The 14,331-nt window shown below is 40.5% G+C and overlaps 1 protein-coding gene and 1 pseudogene across 2 annotated transcripts in view; both read left to right on the top strand.

Moving 5' to 3' along the window:
* Positions 1 to 14,331, top strand: part of VPS4B (vacuolar protein sorting 4 homolog B) — a 33,287-nt gene that overhangs the window by 1,880 nt on the left and 17,076 nt on the right. The window contains exons 2-4 of one of the 2 annotated variants that reach the window (NM_004869.4): positions 9,019 to 9,130; positions 10,151 to 10,307; positions 13,098 to 13,165. In NM_004869.4, the coding sequence (NP_004860.2) occupies positions 9,019 to 9,130; positions 10,151 to 10,307; positions 13,098 to 13,165 (337 nt within the window). Of the gene's footprint in view, positions 1 to 9,018; positions 9,131 to 10,150; positions 10,308 to 13,097; positions 13,166 to 14,331 lie in introns of those variants that run through there. The other variant, XM_047437949.1, reaches the window with a different exon arrangement.
* LOC100422317 (proteasome 26S subunit, ATPase 5 pseudogene) lies at positions 4,109 to 5,325 on the top strand (annotated as a pseudogene).

Below are 14,331 nucleotides of genomic sequence, written 5' to 3'. Positions count from 1 at the left end.
AGGTGACTCTTCTGAAGTGCCCATCTTGTCATCGTTGGCTTTTTAACAATTTTTATTCCACCAGCTTTTCATTTGTCAGAGACTTTGCATGTGATTTCGATACTCTACAACATAATCTTCATCATTTGCAGGTTTTTGTTGTTGTTGTTTTGAGACAGTCTTGCTCTGTTGCCCAGACTGGAGTGCAGTGGCGTGATCTTGGCGCACTGCAACCTCCACCTCCCAGGTTCAAGTGATTCTTGTGCCTCAGCCTCCCGAGTAGCTGGGATTACAGGTGCCTGCCACCACGCCTGGCTAATTTTTTCTATTTTTAGTAGAGACAGGGTTTCACCATGTTGGCCACGCTGGTCTTGAACTCCTGACCTCAAGTGATCCGCCCGCCTTAGCCTCCCAAAGTGCTGGGTTACAGGTGTGAGCCACCGTGCCCGGCCCCAGAATGCATCATACTTGAATTGGACTGTTGGCTGTTCTTCAGTGAATCAGCCAGAGACTGACCAACATGAAAGGCATAATTGTTACTCTTAAGCAGGAAGGATCTTGAATTGTAATTTTGTTAGTGGTAGGTTCACATGTGTGCTTTCTCATTCAACCTTTTCAACCTTCTAACCTAGGAAATTTGGATTAATATTCATGTAGTGATTAACTTCCTGCTGAACAAGGCAAAAATCTCTGTGGCCAGATGCTTATAATCTAATGAGGGAATGCAGATAACTAAAAATCAAAATTATATAATGTAATAAAGCTGCACAGTATTCTCCACTTCCCTGTGGTTTTACTTTCCACAGTTTCAATAACCCGAAGTTAACCTGGGTCCAAAAATTTTAAATGAAATATTCTAGAATAAATAGTTCATAATTTTGAAACACTATGTCACAATGCCTGTGTCATTCACTTCAGTTCATATCATGACGTAGGCATTTTATTATTTCACATAATCACAAGAAGGTTGAGAACAGTGCAATAAGATGTTGAGAGAGAGAAACCACATTCACATCACTTTTATTACAGTATATTGTAATAAAATGTACTGGGCAAGGAGGCAAGGTCTGTGGGATGGGAGGCGGTAAGGGGCCAAATTAGTAGAGTATCCATTCAAATGAAGTGGAAAGGATTGATCAAAGGAGAAAAATTGAAGATGGAGAAGAGTCAAGCTTGTATCTGCATTTATTTTTTTTTTTTTGAGACAGAGTCTCACTCTATTGCCCAGGCAGGAGTGCAGTGGCATGATCTCGGCTTATGGTAACCTCCATCTCCCAGGTTCAAGCGATTCCCCTGCATCAGCCCCCCATGTAGCAGCTGGGATTACAGGCATGCACCAACACACCCAGCTAATTTTTGTAGAGACGGGGATTCGCTGTGTTGGCCAGGCCAGTCTCAAAGTCCTGAACTCAGGTGATCCACCCCCGTTGGCCTCCCAAAGTGGTAGAATTACAGGCGTGAGCCACTGCTCCCTGCTGTATCTGCATTTTAAAAGTGAGGGAGGAGGAAGAGTCTGAGTTTTCTCCCAGATTTCTGGGTTGGGTATCTGAGTACCCAACTCAGGTAGGGATTGGTTCTGGGAATACAAAAGGAGAGCTATTTGGGGCCAGGGCAAGGGAGCAAAATAATTTGGTTCTAAACTTGTCGAGTTTGAGATGCTTGTGGAGACAATCAAATGGAAATGTCCGGTGAATATTTGCATACATATGTGTAGAAGTAGGGAGAGTGGACTAGGCTGGAAATAAGGATTTATTAGCGTACAGGTGGTAGCAGAGGTTGTAGGCATACAGAGTCACATCCTGGAGAGTTTACAGAATAAGGCAAAACAAAGACCACGTTAGAAATTCTATGGATTAGCGACAGTTAAGGAGAGAGAAATGGGAGCCTGGAAAAGAATTATGAATCAAAAGTAAAACCAGGCCAGGCGCAGTGGCTCATGCCTGTAATCCCAGTGTTTTGGGAGGCCGAGGCAGCAGATCGCTTCAGCTTAGGACTTCGAGACCAGTCTGGGCAACATGGTGAAAACCCCTCTCTACAAAAATTAGCCAGGTGTGGTGGTGCATGCCTGTAGTCCCAGCTACTCCAGAGGCTGAGGTGGGAGAATGGCTTGAGCCCAGGAGGTGGAGGTAACACTGAGGCGTGATCACACCCGTGTACTCCAGCCTGGGTGACACAGTGAGACCCTGTCTAAAAAAAAAAAAATACTAAAACTAGAAGAAAATGGTGTCATGACAGCCAGGCAAGGAGACACTGTCAGGGTATTTGTTGTGTGTGTTAAATGCTGCGGAGAGGGAGTGAGATAAGCATATGATTTGGCTATCAGGAGGCAGAAAGCATTGCTGTGGGAGAAATAGGAGATCAGGAAACTGGGATGAACATGGGTATTCTTTGGGATTTTGCTGTGGAGGCAAAGAGATGAGTGAGATGTAGGGAGAGGAGAACCGAGGAGCTGAGGAGTGATGGTGTGTAGTTTGTGTTCTGCAGATGTGAGTCTGAGATAGGACAACACATTTTTCTGCTGAGGGAAAAAAGGAAAGGTTGGAGAGAACAGTTGATAGGCATGTCATTGATGGAGTAAATGTCAGCAGAGGAAGGTGGGGATCAGCTCCACAGCAGAGGAGAAAGAATTGGTCTCAACAGACAGGGCCTGGGACACCTCTTCTGAGGTAGGTAATTGTAGAATTTACCCCATTTCTCAGGGTTTTCTAAGGTGGATGTGTCTGGGACTCCTAAGTGGAACAGGACAATTCCACATGTTCCCAACCTTTATACTTCCGTATGGATAACTGGATCCTGACTGATCCTGGGGTGACACAGTCATTCAGTCTTGTGTCAGCCACTGTGCTAGACTCTGGGAATATAAAGAAGTGAAGACAACAGACAGAACTGCTCTTCTCCTGGAGCTTACATTCTAATAGAAGAGAGAGGCCAATAAATTAAAAAAAAACAAAAAAAACATATGCATGCTCAGACACACACATGCACACACAAAGATCATCAGCCTTAAGTCACTGATGTAGGGGGGGAGGAAACAGAGAGAAATGAGTCCCAGCCCACACCTGATGAATATACTTCATTGTCACATAAGAGAGGAAGAATCAATGAAGGACGCTGAGAAGGAGGAGCCAGAATGGTGGGAGGAAAACCAGCAAAGTGGTGGTTGGGGGCTCAGCAGAGGACAGTGTCCAAGAAGGAGGAAATAATCAACTTTGTAAAATGTCAGAAGATCAAGAAGACAGAGCTGGTGTTTGGATCTAGCATGCTAGAGAGCCTTGATATGAGCCGTTTTATTATGTGATACAGGAAAGAGAATAGAGGCCACTCTGGTGAGATTTTTGGCTCTAAAAGGTAGCAGAGAAACAGAACTAACACCGAACAGTGTTTTGTCAAATAAGACTTTTTAAAGGAGGGCTGTTTGTATGTCGATGGAAATATCTAGTGGAGAGAAATTGTTAAGAATGACAGAAGTGAAGTAACCAAAAGGAAGAAGATACTGAAAAAGGAGTAGGGAATTTTTTTTTTCATTCGTTAAACAATTTCGAGTACCTGTTGTATGCCGGCACCATTCTAGGCATGGGTAGCTCAAGGTGAAGTCCTGTCCTCATGGAACCTACCTCCCTAAAGGAGACAGCCAGTGGGTGAGCATACAGGTAAATACAATGACAGTGATGGGATGAGAGAGTGCAGTGGGGGCAGATAGCAAAGAGAAGGAATGAGGTGCAGCCTTTGCTATAGCAAATTAGGGAGGCCTCTCTAAGGACTTGCCATCTGAACTAGGACTGAAAAGGAGACATCATGCATCTGTCTGGGGAAAGGAGGGAAGAGCATTCTAGGTGGAAGGGTTCAACTGCTTGGGCTGCCTGAGTGCAGGAGGATTCTAGGGTTCGGGGAGAACCACACGTAGCTAGGGCCCAGGTTATTTCAGACCTTGTAGATCAGCTCTAGCATCAGGATTTTATTGTTTTTAATGGGAGACCATCAAGGTTACCTTTTATGTTTTGAGGTAGCAAGGGTGGGAACAGACTGACCACTCACGAGGCTGGGTAGTAGTTTTGACATATATGATAGCAGCTTGAACTAGGGTGTTAGCAAGGGAGATGGTGAGGATTATATTCAGAAAGAAAATTAGCTCTGGCTGAAAAGGGAAGATAATGTTTGATGGACCAGAGCAGATGGAGCTGGAAGAGGGGAAGACAGGCAACAGACTCTGCCAGTATTATCTGTCTGAGACTGAAGAACTCCAGTCAGTAGTGAATGATAACAGCCAGGACCTCCAGAGGCTGCAGGCATAAATGAATGAACTCAATGCAAAAGTTCACCTATTGCAGGAGGAGCTACAGCTGCTGCAGGAACAGGGCTCCTGTATAAGGGAAGTAGTCCGGGCCATGAATAAGGAGAAAGTGTTAGTCAAGGTGTATCCCAAGGGCAAGTTTGTCTTAGATGTGGACAGAAACAGCAACATCAATGACATGAGACCCAATTGCCAGGGGGGCGCTAAGAAATGATAGCGACACACTGCACAATATCATACCCAGCAAAGTAGACCCACTGGTGTCACCAGTGATGGTGGAGAAGGTGCCAACCTTGATTTAAGAGATGATTGGTGGACTGGACAAGCAGATTAAGGACATCACAGAAGTGATCGAGCAGCCTGTTAAGCATTCCAAGCTCTTTGAAGCACTGGGTATCACACAACCCAGGGTGGTACTGCTGTACGGACCTCTAGGCACTGGGAAGACACTGTTTGCCTAGGCTGTGGCTCACCATACAGACTGTACCTTTGTTCATATCCCTGGCTCTGAATTTGTATAGAAATTCATCGGGGAAGGGCCAAGAATGGTGAGGGAGCTGTTTGTCATGGCATGAGGACCTGCCATCTGTCATCAGCTCCATCAGCTCCTCGCAGCTGGAGGGGGGTTCTGGAGGGGACAGTGAAGTGCTGCACATCGTGCTGGAACTGCTCAACCAACTGGACAGCTTTGAGGCCCCCAAGAAGATCAAGGTTATCATGGACCACTGCTTCACTCAGGGCACATCAACAGAAAAATTGAATTCCAGCTGGACATTTTGAAGATCCATTCTCTGAAAAGGAACCTGACCCAGGGGATCAACCAGAGAAAAATTGCCAAGCTTATGCCAGGAGCATCAGGGGCTGAAGTGAAAGTCATATACAGAGAAAGCAGCATATATGCCCTGAGGGAACGGCGAGTGCATGTCACCCAGGAGGACTTTGAGATAGCAGTAGCCAGCGTCATGCAGAAGGATAGAGAGTAAAACATGTCCATCAAGAAACTATGGAAGTGCGGGGATGTCCTTTGTATGGATCCCTCCGGTAAAGCTTTCTGGAATGAAAAAATAAAATAATTAGCTCTCCAGAATTAACCATAGAAGACATGGTTAATTTTATTTCAAATGAAAAATGCTAACAGACATGGTTAATTTTATTTCAGATGAAAAATGTTAACAGAAATAAGGTTGAAATGGTATTCATCAGCAGAAAAAAAACAGATGCATATCCTCTTAATTCATCGTCTTCGATTAAAGGTTTAACGTGTGCCACCCAGTACAGTGGCTGCATGTGGCTATTTTAATTACATAAACTCACTCCTCAGTCACACTAGCCACATTTCAAGTGCTCAGAAGCCATATACAGACATTCTCATCATCAGGGAAAGGCTGGTTTAATTAGCACTATGTTTGGAGCTAGATGCTTAAATAATACCCACTGCAGTATAAGAGATTTAACTTAATAAAAATCAGTGTGGTGCCTCAGTGAGGCCTGACTGAATGAGAGGAACAAGTGGCTGAAGAGGTGAGTGGCACAGCATTTCAAAATCACCTGAGAAGAAAATTATAGTTAGGATAAGAAAGAGCTTATTTCTAGGCCAGGCACGGTGGCTCACGCCTGTTATCCCAGCACTTTGGGAGGCTGAGGCAGGTGTATCACCTGAGGTCAGGAGTTTGAGACCAGCCTGGCCAACATGGTGAAATCCCATCTCTACTAAAAATACAAAAATTAGCCAGGCATGGTGGTGGGTGCCTGTAATCCCAGCCACTGGGGAGGCTGAGGCAGGAGAATCACATGAACCTGGGAGGCAGAGATTGCAGTGAGCCAAGATGGCGCCATTGCACTCCAGTCTGGGCGACAAGAGTGAGACTCCATCTCAAAAGAAAAAAGAAAAAGGATTTATTTCTGCTATGTGGCTTAACCACTGAGGCTTTGAGATGCATTTTTTTTTTTCTTTTTTGAGACAGAGTCTTGCTCTGTCACCCAGGCTAGAGTGCAGTGGCATGATCTCGGCTCACTGCAACCTCTGTCTCCCGGATTCAAGCGATTCTCCTGACTCAGCCTCCCAAGTAGCTGGGATTACAGGCGCCTGGCTAATATTTTTTGTATTTTTAGAGATGGGGTTTCATTATATTGGCCAGGCTGGTCTCGAACTCCTGACCTCAAGTGATCCGCCCTCCTCGGCCTCCCATACTGCTGGGATTACAGGCGTGAGCCACTGTGCTTGGCCTCACTCTGTCACCCAGGCTGGAGTGCAGTGGCACAATCTTGGCTGTGGTGCATTTTTATATGACCAGTCTGACCTAACCACCACTTGACTGTGTGACTCCATGTTTTATGTTCATATACTAGCTGATAAAACTTGAAAATTTAGCTTTGAATTTAGGCTACTTGACCTGTGAGATACGTAACTATTACATTTTATCAATTCTGAAGTAAACCATTTATTTTTCTTCCCTGCTACAATAGAGGAAGCATGGTCTTCCAGCGGGAGACCTGTTCCTCCCATTTACAGATCTCAGCCCAGTTATATCCAATCCATGCTCAACTGCCCCAAAATGTAATATTCTTACACATAATTGGTTTTTGCATTGTTTGAATGATTTTTTGCTTATGTTATATACTTACTTTTTAATATCTCTAACAACTGTCAATTTTCATTTTTTTTTACTGGCACCTATTTCTGTTGAATAGTTTTACTACCTAAATTAACCCAGTTGGAATGTTTTAATAAGTCATGTTTGCCCTTTATTTGTATGTATCTGTGCATAATTTTTTTTTTTTTTTTTTTGAGGTGGAGTCTCACTCTGTTGCCCAGGCTGGAGTGCAGTGGCATGATCTTGGCTCACTGCAACCACCGCCTCCCGGGTTCAAGCAATTCTCCTGCCTCAGTCTCCCAAGTAGCTGGGACTATAGGCGCATGCCGCTACGCCTGGTCAATTTTTTGTGTTTTAGTAGAGACGGGGTTTCACTGTGTTGCCCACGCTGGTCGCAAACTCCTGAGCTCAGGAGAATTTTAGTTTGAGATAATTGTAGATTCACACGCAGTTGTAAGAAATACTGAGAATCCAGCATTCCCTTTATCCAGTTGTCTGCAGTGGCAGCATCTTGTAGAACTGGGACAATATCACAACCAGGATATTGATATTGATACATTCCACCACTCTTACTCATATTTTCCCAGTTTTACTTGTCCTTATGTGTTTTTATGTGTGTGGGTGTGGTTGTTTGTGCAGTTTTATCACATGTAGATATGTGTTACATTTTGAGAGTTCTTTATGTATTCTCGATACTAGTTCTTTGTTAGATATGTTTTGCAAATATTTCTCCCAGTCTATAGATTGTCCTTTCATCCTTTTAACAAAATCTTCCAGAGAGCAAAAGTTTTGTCATAAGATCCAGTTACCTTTTTTTTTCTTTTATATAGTATGCTTTTGATGTCAAATCTAAGAACTCTGCGCATCCCCAGATCCTAAGTTTTCCATGTTTTTTCTAAAAGTTTTAGCTGGGTGCGGTGGTGTGGACTTGTGATCCTGCTATTTGGGGAGGCTGATGCAGGATGATCACCTGAGCCCAGGAGTTTGAGGCTAGCTTGGTCGACATAGTGAGATGGAGCCCCGTCTCAACAAATAAATAAGAATCAAAGTTTTGTAGTTTTACATTTAATTCTATGATCCATTTTTGAGTTAATTTTTGTAGGAAGTATTAAGTTTAAGTCAGAATTCTTTTAGGTGTATGCTTATGGATGTCTAGTTCCTCTAGCACCACTTCTTAAAAAGCCTGACTCGGTGCCATTGACTGGCTTTTTGCATCATTTTCAAAAATCTCTTGGCTTTATTAGTATGGATTTATTTCTGGGACTTTTTAAAAAAATGCCACAAAAGTAGTCCATGTTCCTTATGGACATTTTTTAGAAGATGTGAAAAAGTAGAAAATGAAAAATATATGTTTTATCAAAGATAAACTCTGTTTAACAATTTCCTTCCCATCTTTTTCCTGTGCTGCTTTTTTCTGCTGTTGTTTCAAATAAATTCCTGCTACATATAAAAAGTTGTGTCCTGCTTTTTAAAAATGCCCATTATTAACACTTTCCATATTATTACAAATATTTCTTAATGTTATTTTAGTGATCCTTTGGTGTTCTGTTTTGTGGCATCCTTTATGATTTAAGTTTCCAGGTTTTGTTTTTGTTATTTAAAAGACCTCTCTGATAATATCTGTGCTCAGTAAACCTTTTAGTTAATTACTGGATTGAAATATATGAGTATTTTTCAGATTCTTGATATTTCATTGCCCCATTGCTTCTGAAGAGGTTTCACCCCATTTACATTTCCACTATTGTTATATCTTTTAGATTAAAGCAGCATTTAATTTTTGAGAATTTCTCTAAATGCTTGTTTAGTTTGAATTTTCACATTCTATTATTTCTTATTAGCCCTAAATTTAACTTTAGCTAAGTGAAAATTACATGTAAATGTTAGCGATTGGTACTAAAGTAACATTCAGTAGCATTTATTCCTATAACATGTAATTTGCATCTTTTCAACTTGTAATTTATAATAAAATACAGTTGTGAGTTAGAAAAAAATGATTTTTTAGTTACTGTTTATTTTTTACTTATTTTTGTTTTCTTTCACAGCCCAGCAAGCTGAGAAGCTTTAAAAAAAAAAAAAACTTTCAGTATGATTATTTACTTCAAATTTATGTTTATGCTTTGATTTAAATGTTGTTATTTTGCCTCCCTCAAACAGAAAGCGATAGATCTGGCTAGCAAAGCAGCGCAAGAAGACAAGGCTGGGAACTACGAAGAAGCCCTTCAGCTCTATCAGCATGCTGTGCAGTATTTTCTTCATGTCGTTAAATGTGAGGCCATAGGTTATATTTTATTTAAAAACACGAAAAGGAAAATTTATTCTGTTTCATTTCTAAAAAATTGAAATATAATGCCAGACAATTCTAAACGATCCATTTGTTAAAAAAAAAAAATACTCCACTTTCTTTCTAGTGATTTTTAAGTATTGAGATGTAGCTAGCAAATGTGACAGCCATCATAGTTATTACTTTGTATATGTAAACATCTTAAAATGTAGTCTAGTCAGTGGAAAATAGGTTAGGAGACATTCTATTTGTGTCTTTACAGATATGTATTGCGTGTGTACCACGTGGCAGGCACTGGGGATACAATGGAAAGAAATGGTTAAGACCCCTGCCCTCATAGCTCTTAAATGGAATGCAGTTAGATGATTGAAGATGTTCTTTTGAGCTTCTCCCATTTAGTTCTGAGGTTTTATGTTAAAGTGAGACTAAGAATGAGTCATAACCTGTAAGCTATGTGGGGCTCATCCCATCTATTGCACGTGTTGCCAAAGTTCACTTTGAAAACAGCTCTGACAGAGGCCTTTGTGTAGTAAAATTTACGATGTTGGTATTACACAGAATATATGGGATTTCCATCACTTTACTCTTCTGAAATAAAGCTTTTGTAGACATTCATAGAAATGATTAATACTGCTTTCCTTCTATTTGTCTTTTTTATAATTGGGTTTGTCTAAGACAAGCAACTTTGAACTATCTGCAAAAATGTAAGGGAAAAATATGAAAGCTTCAGAATATTAAATAATTTCCTGTTAGTTAACATTAACTTAATATACCCTGCTGTCTTGCTTAGGTTGTTTCTGATTCAGACCCACTGTTGGTCTCCAACCCTGCTGGAGGAAGGGGTAGAAAAGAGGTGATAATCATTGGCTATGATGAGTTAGAGATGATCTTCCCTCCTTCTTCCAACATAGAATTTCCTTGTCTGAAAAAATACATATTTAAGAGTTCAAACCTTTCTACATAGAATACTAATGGAAAAAAATCTCTCTCATTTCCCTTTAATAGATGAAGCACAGGGTGATAAAGCCAAGCAAAGTATCAGGGCAAAGTGTACAGAATATCTTGATAGAGCAGAAAAACTAAAGGAGTACCTGAAAAATAAAGAGAAAAAAGCACAGAAGCCAGTGAAAGAAGGACAGCCGAGTCCAGCAGATGAGAAGGGGTACGTGTTTAAAATTGTTCAATTTTATTGTGGCTTTTTGCTTTCGATTTGTGAAATTTCTTTTGATTAAAACAGGTGTCAGCAAACTATGGCTCATGGGCCAAAGCTGCCCAGCTGCCTGTTTTTGGAATAAGCTTTATCAGAACACAGCCGTGCCCATTCTTTTACATATTGTTGTCTAGGGCTGCTTTCGTGCCGTAACAACAAAGTTGTGTGGTTGTGTGGAGACCGTATGGCCCACGAAACCTAAAATATTTACTTGTTTGGTCCTTTACAAAAAAAAGTTTGCTGACCCCTAGTTTGCCAAGTTGAATGGATAATATTCCTCAAACAACCCTTCCTGACTGCCTGCTAGTAGGAGGAGAGAATGCTTGTAGGAATAGTACTCAGTTACTCTCTGGCCATTAGCTAATATGGAAGCTTAAGGTTATAGGAGTGACCAGAGAGTTAAACCTTTGACCACATGGAAAAAATGAAAAGTAACTCCAACAATGTAAATTTTTTTTGGATATCTTATGCAAAATTTTTTGATGTGAATTTGTGTTAGATTTGCTTTATGTTGTCATTGTAAAGAAAACAACACAGCATAACTTATAAACGTTGAAACTGATTTTTGGCATGTCTTCCTAGATGGGGGATGTATCACTTCTAGATGCAGAATTTGTTTATTCAGTACATGACATATGCGTGCCAAGTTTGTGCTCAGCACTGGGAACATATTCTAACCACATCCTCTCTGGCTGTCCTATTAATTGATGCCAGTAGTTCCAGGTAACACACCCTTAAGAAAATGAGACTCTGGGATGGAGTTATCTGGCCTGCTTGGGTTTGAAAACAGCGAGATTCTGCTCAGCTTTAGAGGATGTGGTTCTCATTGTTCATGGTATGCAGTGGCGCAGGTTATTTAGACAATACCCTGTGGTCACAAGGAATGAAGTGCCTTTTAGGCAGTGCTTTGGGGCTTCGTGGCTGCTACCACAGACCATTTGGAAGTACATGAGGAATATAAGAACCAGTGTTGACTTGGCTGCTTCAAACTATGTGGCAGAGTTTGAAGGAAATGATAAGCTTAAGCTCAAGGTTTTATATTCTCTGTTCAAGATGTGATCGGGGAACCAGGGAGTTTCTGTGACACCCTAAGAACATGTTATCTTCTTCATCGATAGCACTGACTTAACAAAAATCAGATGATAGTCTGATCTTACAAATTACTGAATTCCAACTTAGGGTTTCTTATATGAAAGTGAGGACATTTGGTATAAAACAGGGACTCCAAACATGAAGTGAAAATATTGGGAAGAATTTAGTTGACCTTGACTGCCCAGGACCTCCAGCTGTCACTGAGACTCCCTTGACAGCAGAAGCTTCTCTTCCCTTGTCCATAGAAGCTCTTCTCTCTTGCTTGAAAACCCTGTAAGGATCTCTTCTGAGATGATTACCTGACAAGGCGATGCCAGTTTTTCTTTTGTACTGAACAGCAATCTTCGTTTACAGTAGGACCCACTTTGGCTAATTTAAGCAAAAAGGGATATATTATAGGGTATTACCTTACAGAATAGTGGGGCCAGGGAATCAGGAGAAATGGCCAACAGTACCAGGGTTGTTCAAGTAGGGATCCCACTGTTGCCAACTCCTCTGCTAAGCACTGATGGTGCTTGGGAGCAGGTAGTAAATCCTCTGCGCAGCTCCCTCAGCAAAACCAGTGCCTTCGCCTGAAGATTCTGTCTCCTTGTGAGCAGCCCCCACCTTCTTGGAAGAATTTAGGTCTCATGTGGAACCCTAGCTACAAGGGAGATGAGAAACGGCAGGGTTTTTTTTGTTTGTTTGTTTTTAATAAGGACAGCCTTTATAGTACTGGACAGCATGATAGAAAGAGGTTGGAGTGAGTGTCATGTGAATCTTTTGCAGTGTCTACCTCACCCACAGCCCCACCGTCCTATGATAACCAAGGCAATTCCATTTTGGCATAAAACATGTCATGCTTTTATCTCCCTTTATATGTTATTGTTTTAAAAATGATATAATGCCTTATTTTTGGCTTTATCACTTTTATACTTAACATTGTATCAGGAATATCTTTCCAATAAACTATTTCTACATCACGTTTAAATGTTGCAATGTATCCTGTCATATGCTAGTCCCTATAATATGAGTTACTTTTTCCCCTTTTGCAAACAGTGTGGGTGTGATTATCCTTATGGTCAAATGCTTGAACTTGTCTAAAATTATTTCCTCAAGATAAATCCCTAGATATGAATGAAATGCCTTGATCGACCTACTTGTTCTTTGGGTGTAGTTCATTGTCATCAGGAAGCTTCCTCTGTCCTTTGGAATCCCCAGACTAAGGGTTGTAGACCTTTGTACCTTAGTGTTCCAGATTTTTTTCCTCCTAATATGACCTCTTGTTCTAATTTATATCTTGCCCAGTCCTGATGTTTTTACTGTTGTTGTTTGCAGCTCTCCTGTGATTCATCTTGAATCCTTCATGGAGTGATGTGTGGGGCATGCATTTATGAATTAATACATACCTAAATATGTCATGGGAATTTGGAGCTAGTTCCTGACTTCATTCTGGTCTTTTTGTCCCTTTCTTTTACATGATTCTCTATTGATGATAACGTGACTGCTTCTTATTTACTACATTCTTTAAAATAAGTAAGCATAACTTTTAATGTAAATGTCTGATTTTGCCACTGAAATTACAAATATTTCAGGTTAATTTTTCCTTCATTTTTGCCTTATTTGATAGCAATGAGTGATCATTTGAATATATTAAATTCTTTTTATTAGGAATGACAGTGATGGGGAAGGAGAATCTGATGATCCTGAAAAAAAGAAACTACAGAATCAACTTCAAGGTTGCTTTAGATTTCATTTTTAAATTTACTATCCTATTAAAAAGACTCAAAGTGAATTGTCTATTTGAATTGTTTTTGTTCTCCCTCTATATTTAAATGAAGTTTAAGAACTGGCTTTGGTTCCCAATAGTCATGTGCTGGCTTTGTTTAGAGTGTTTTCTTAGGGTTTGCCCTCTAGGATCATGGTTTGGTCTTTTTTATGTAATAGTTTTGTTGGCTTCACATCTGCCTTTAAAAGGCTCTCAGTCAACTTGCTCTTTCTTTTTGTTTATTTGCCGCCTTTTAGAGAAGGTAACACTTATACTATTAGCACACTGCAAAATTTGATGGTATTAAAATTTACTACTGTGGGAGAAGTTAGGACTTACACGTGGCTTTTATTGCCGTTGCTGTAGCTCACTTATTGATGGTTTATTTTGTTTCTTAACTGCTCTTCATCTGCTTTTCAGTGTTCCTGTTTACATTTAATTGTTTAAGCTTTCTGTGTTTACCATCCACACCTGTAAAGCCCTTTCATTCTGTTCTACTATAGCACAGTGGCATAACAGAGGGGACATAGGTTTTTGGCTCCATTCAGATCTTGATTCTGTTCAAGGGTCTGCCACTTAGAACTTTCTAATTGTGGGCAAGTGACTGAATCTCTCAGAACCAGCGTCCCCCATCTCTAAAATAGAAATGAGCAATAGCTTCCTTTCAGGGCTTTTAAGATTAATGACAGTGTAAAAACTACCTCATATATCTGACGAAGTCTAGGGACTCAATAAATGGTAGCACTGTTTATCTAAAAAGGCATCTATTTGTTGGCTGGCTTTGTTAATCACTGAGATTTGATTATTCTTCGAAATAAATTATCTAACAATTTTTCAGATTGAATTTTTTGCTCACCCATTGGTAGTATGTATTTTGTTCATTTGAATCTTACCAAATAGAATGCATAACTGGGAAGGATTTCCATTTTATAGGTTCAGCCTTGGTTACTGAATAGTGAAAATACTTACCTGAGCCAAACTTTTAGCCTTGCTATACTAGTGTCTTCGTTTTGGTAGTATTTTTGTCTTGCCTACCCTACTGGGATGTCTAGGAAAACACTGTAAGGATAATGTGTTGACAACAGACCAGGTAATGAATAGAGAACATCTTTAGATGCCAAGAACTTCAGTGGTAGA

Source organism: Homo sapiens, chromosome 18, assembly GCF_000001405.40.
Source record: "Homo sapiens chromosome 18, GRCh38.p14 Primary Assembly".
Taxonomy (NCBI): Eukaryota; Metazoa; Chordata; class Mammalia; order Primates; family Hominidae; genus Homo; species Homo sapiens.
The sequence above is the reverse complement of the archived record's forward strand: the minus strand, read 5'-3'. Positions and strand labels throughout refer to the sequence as shown.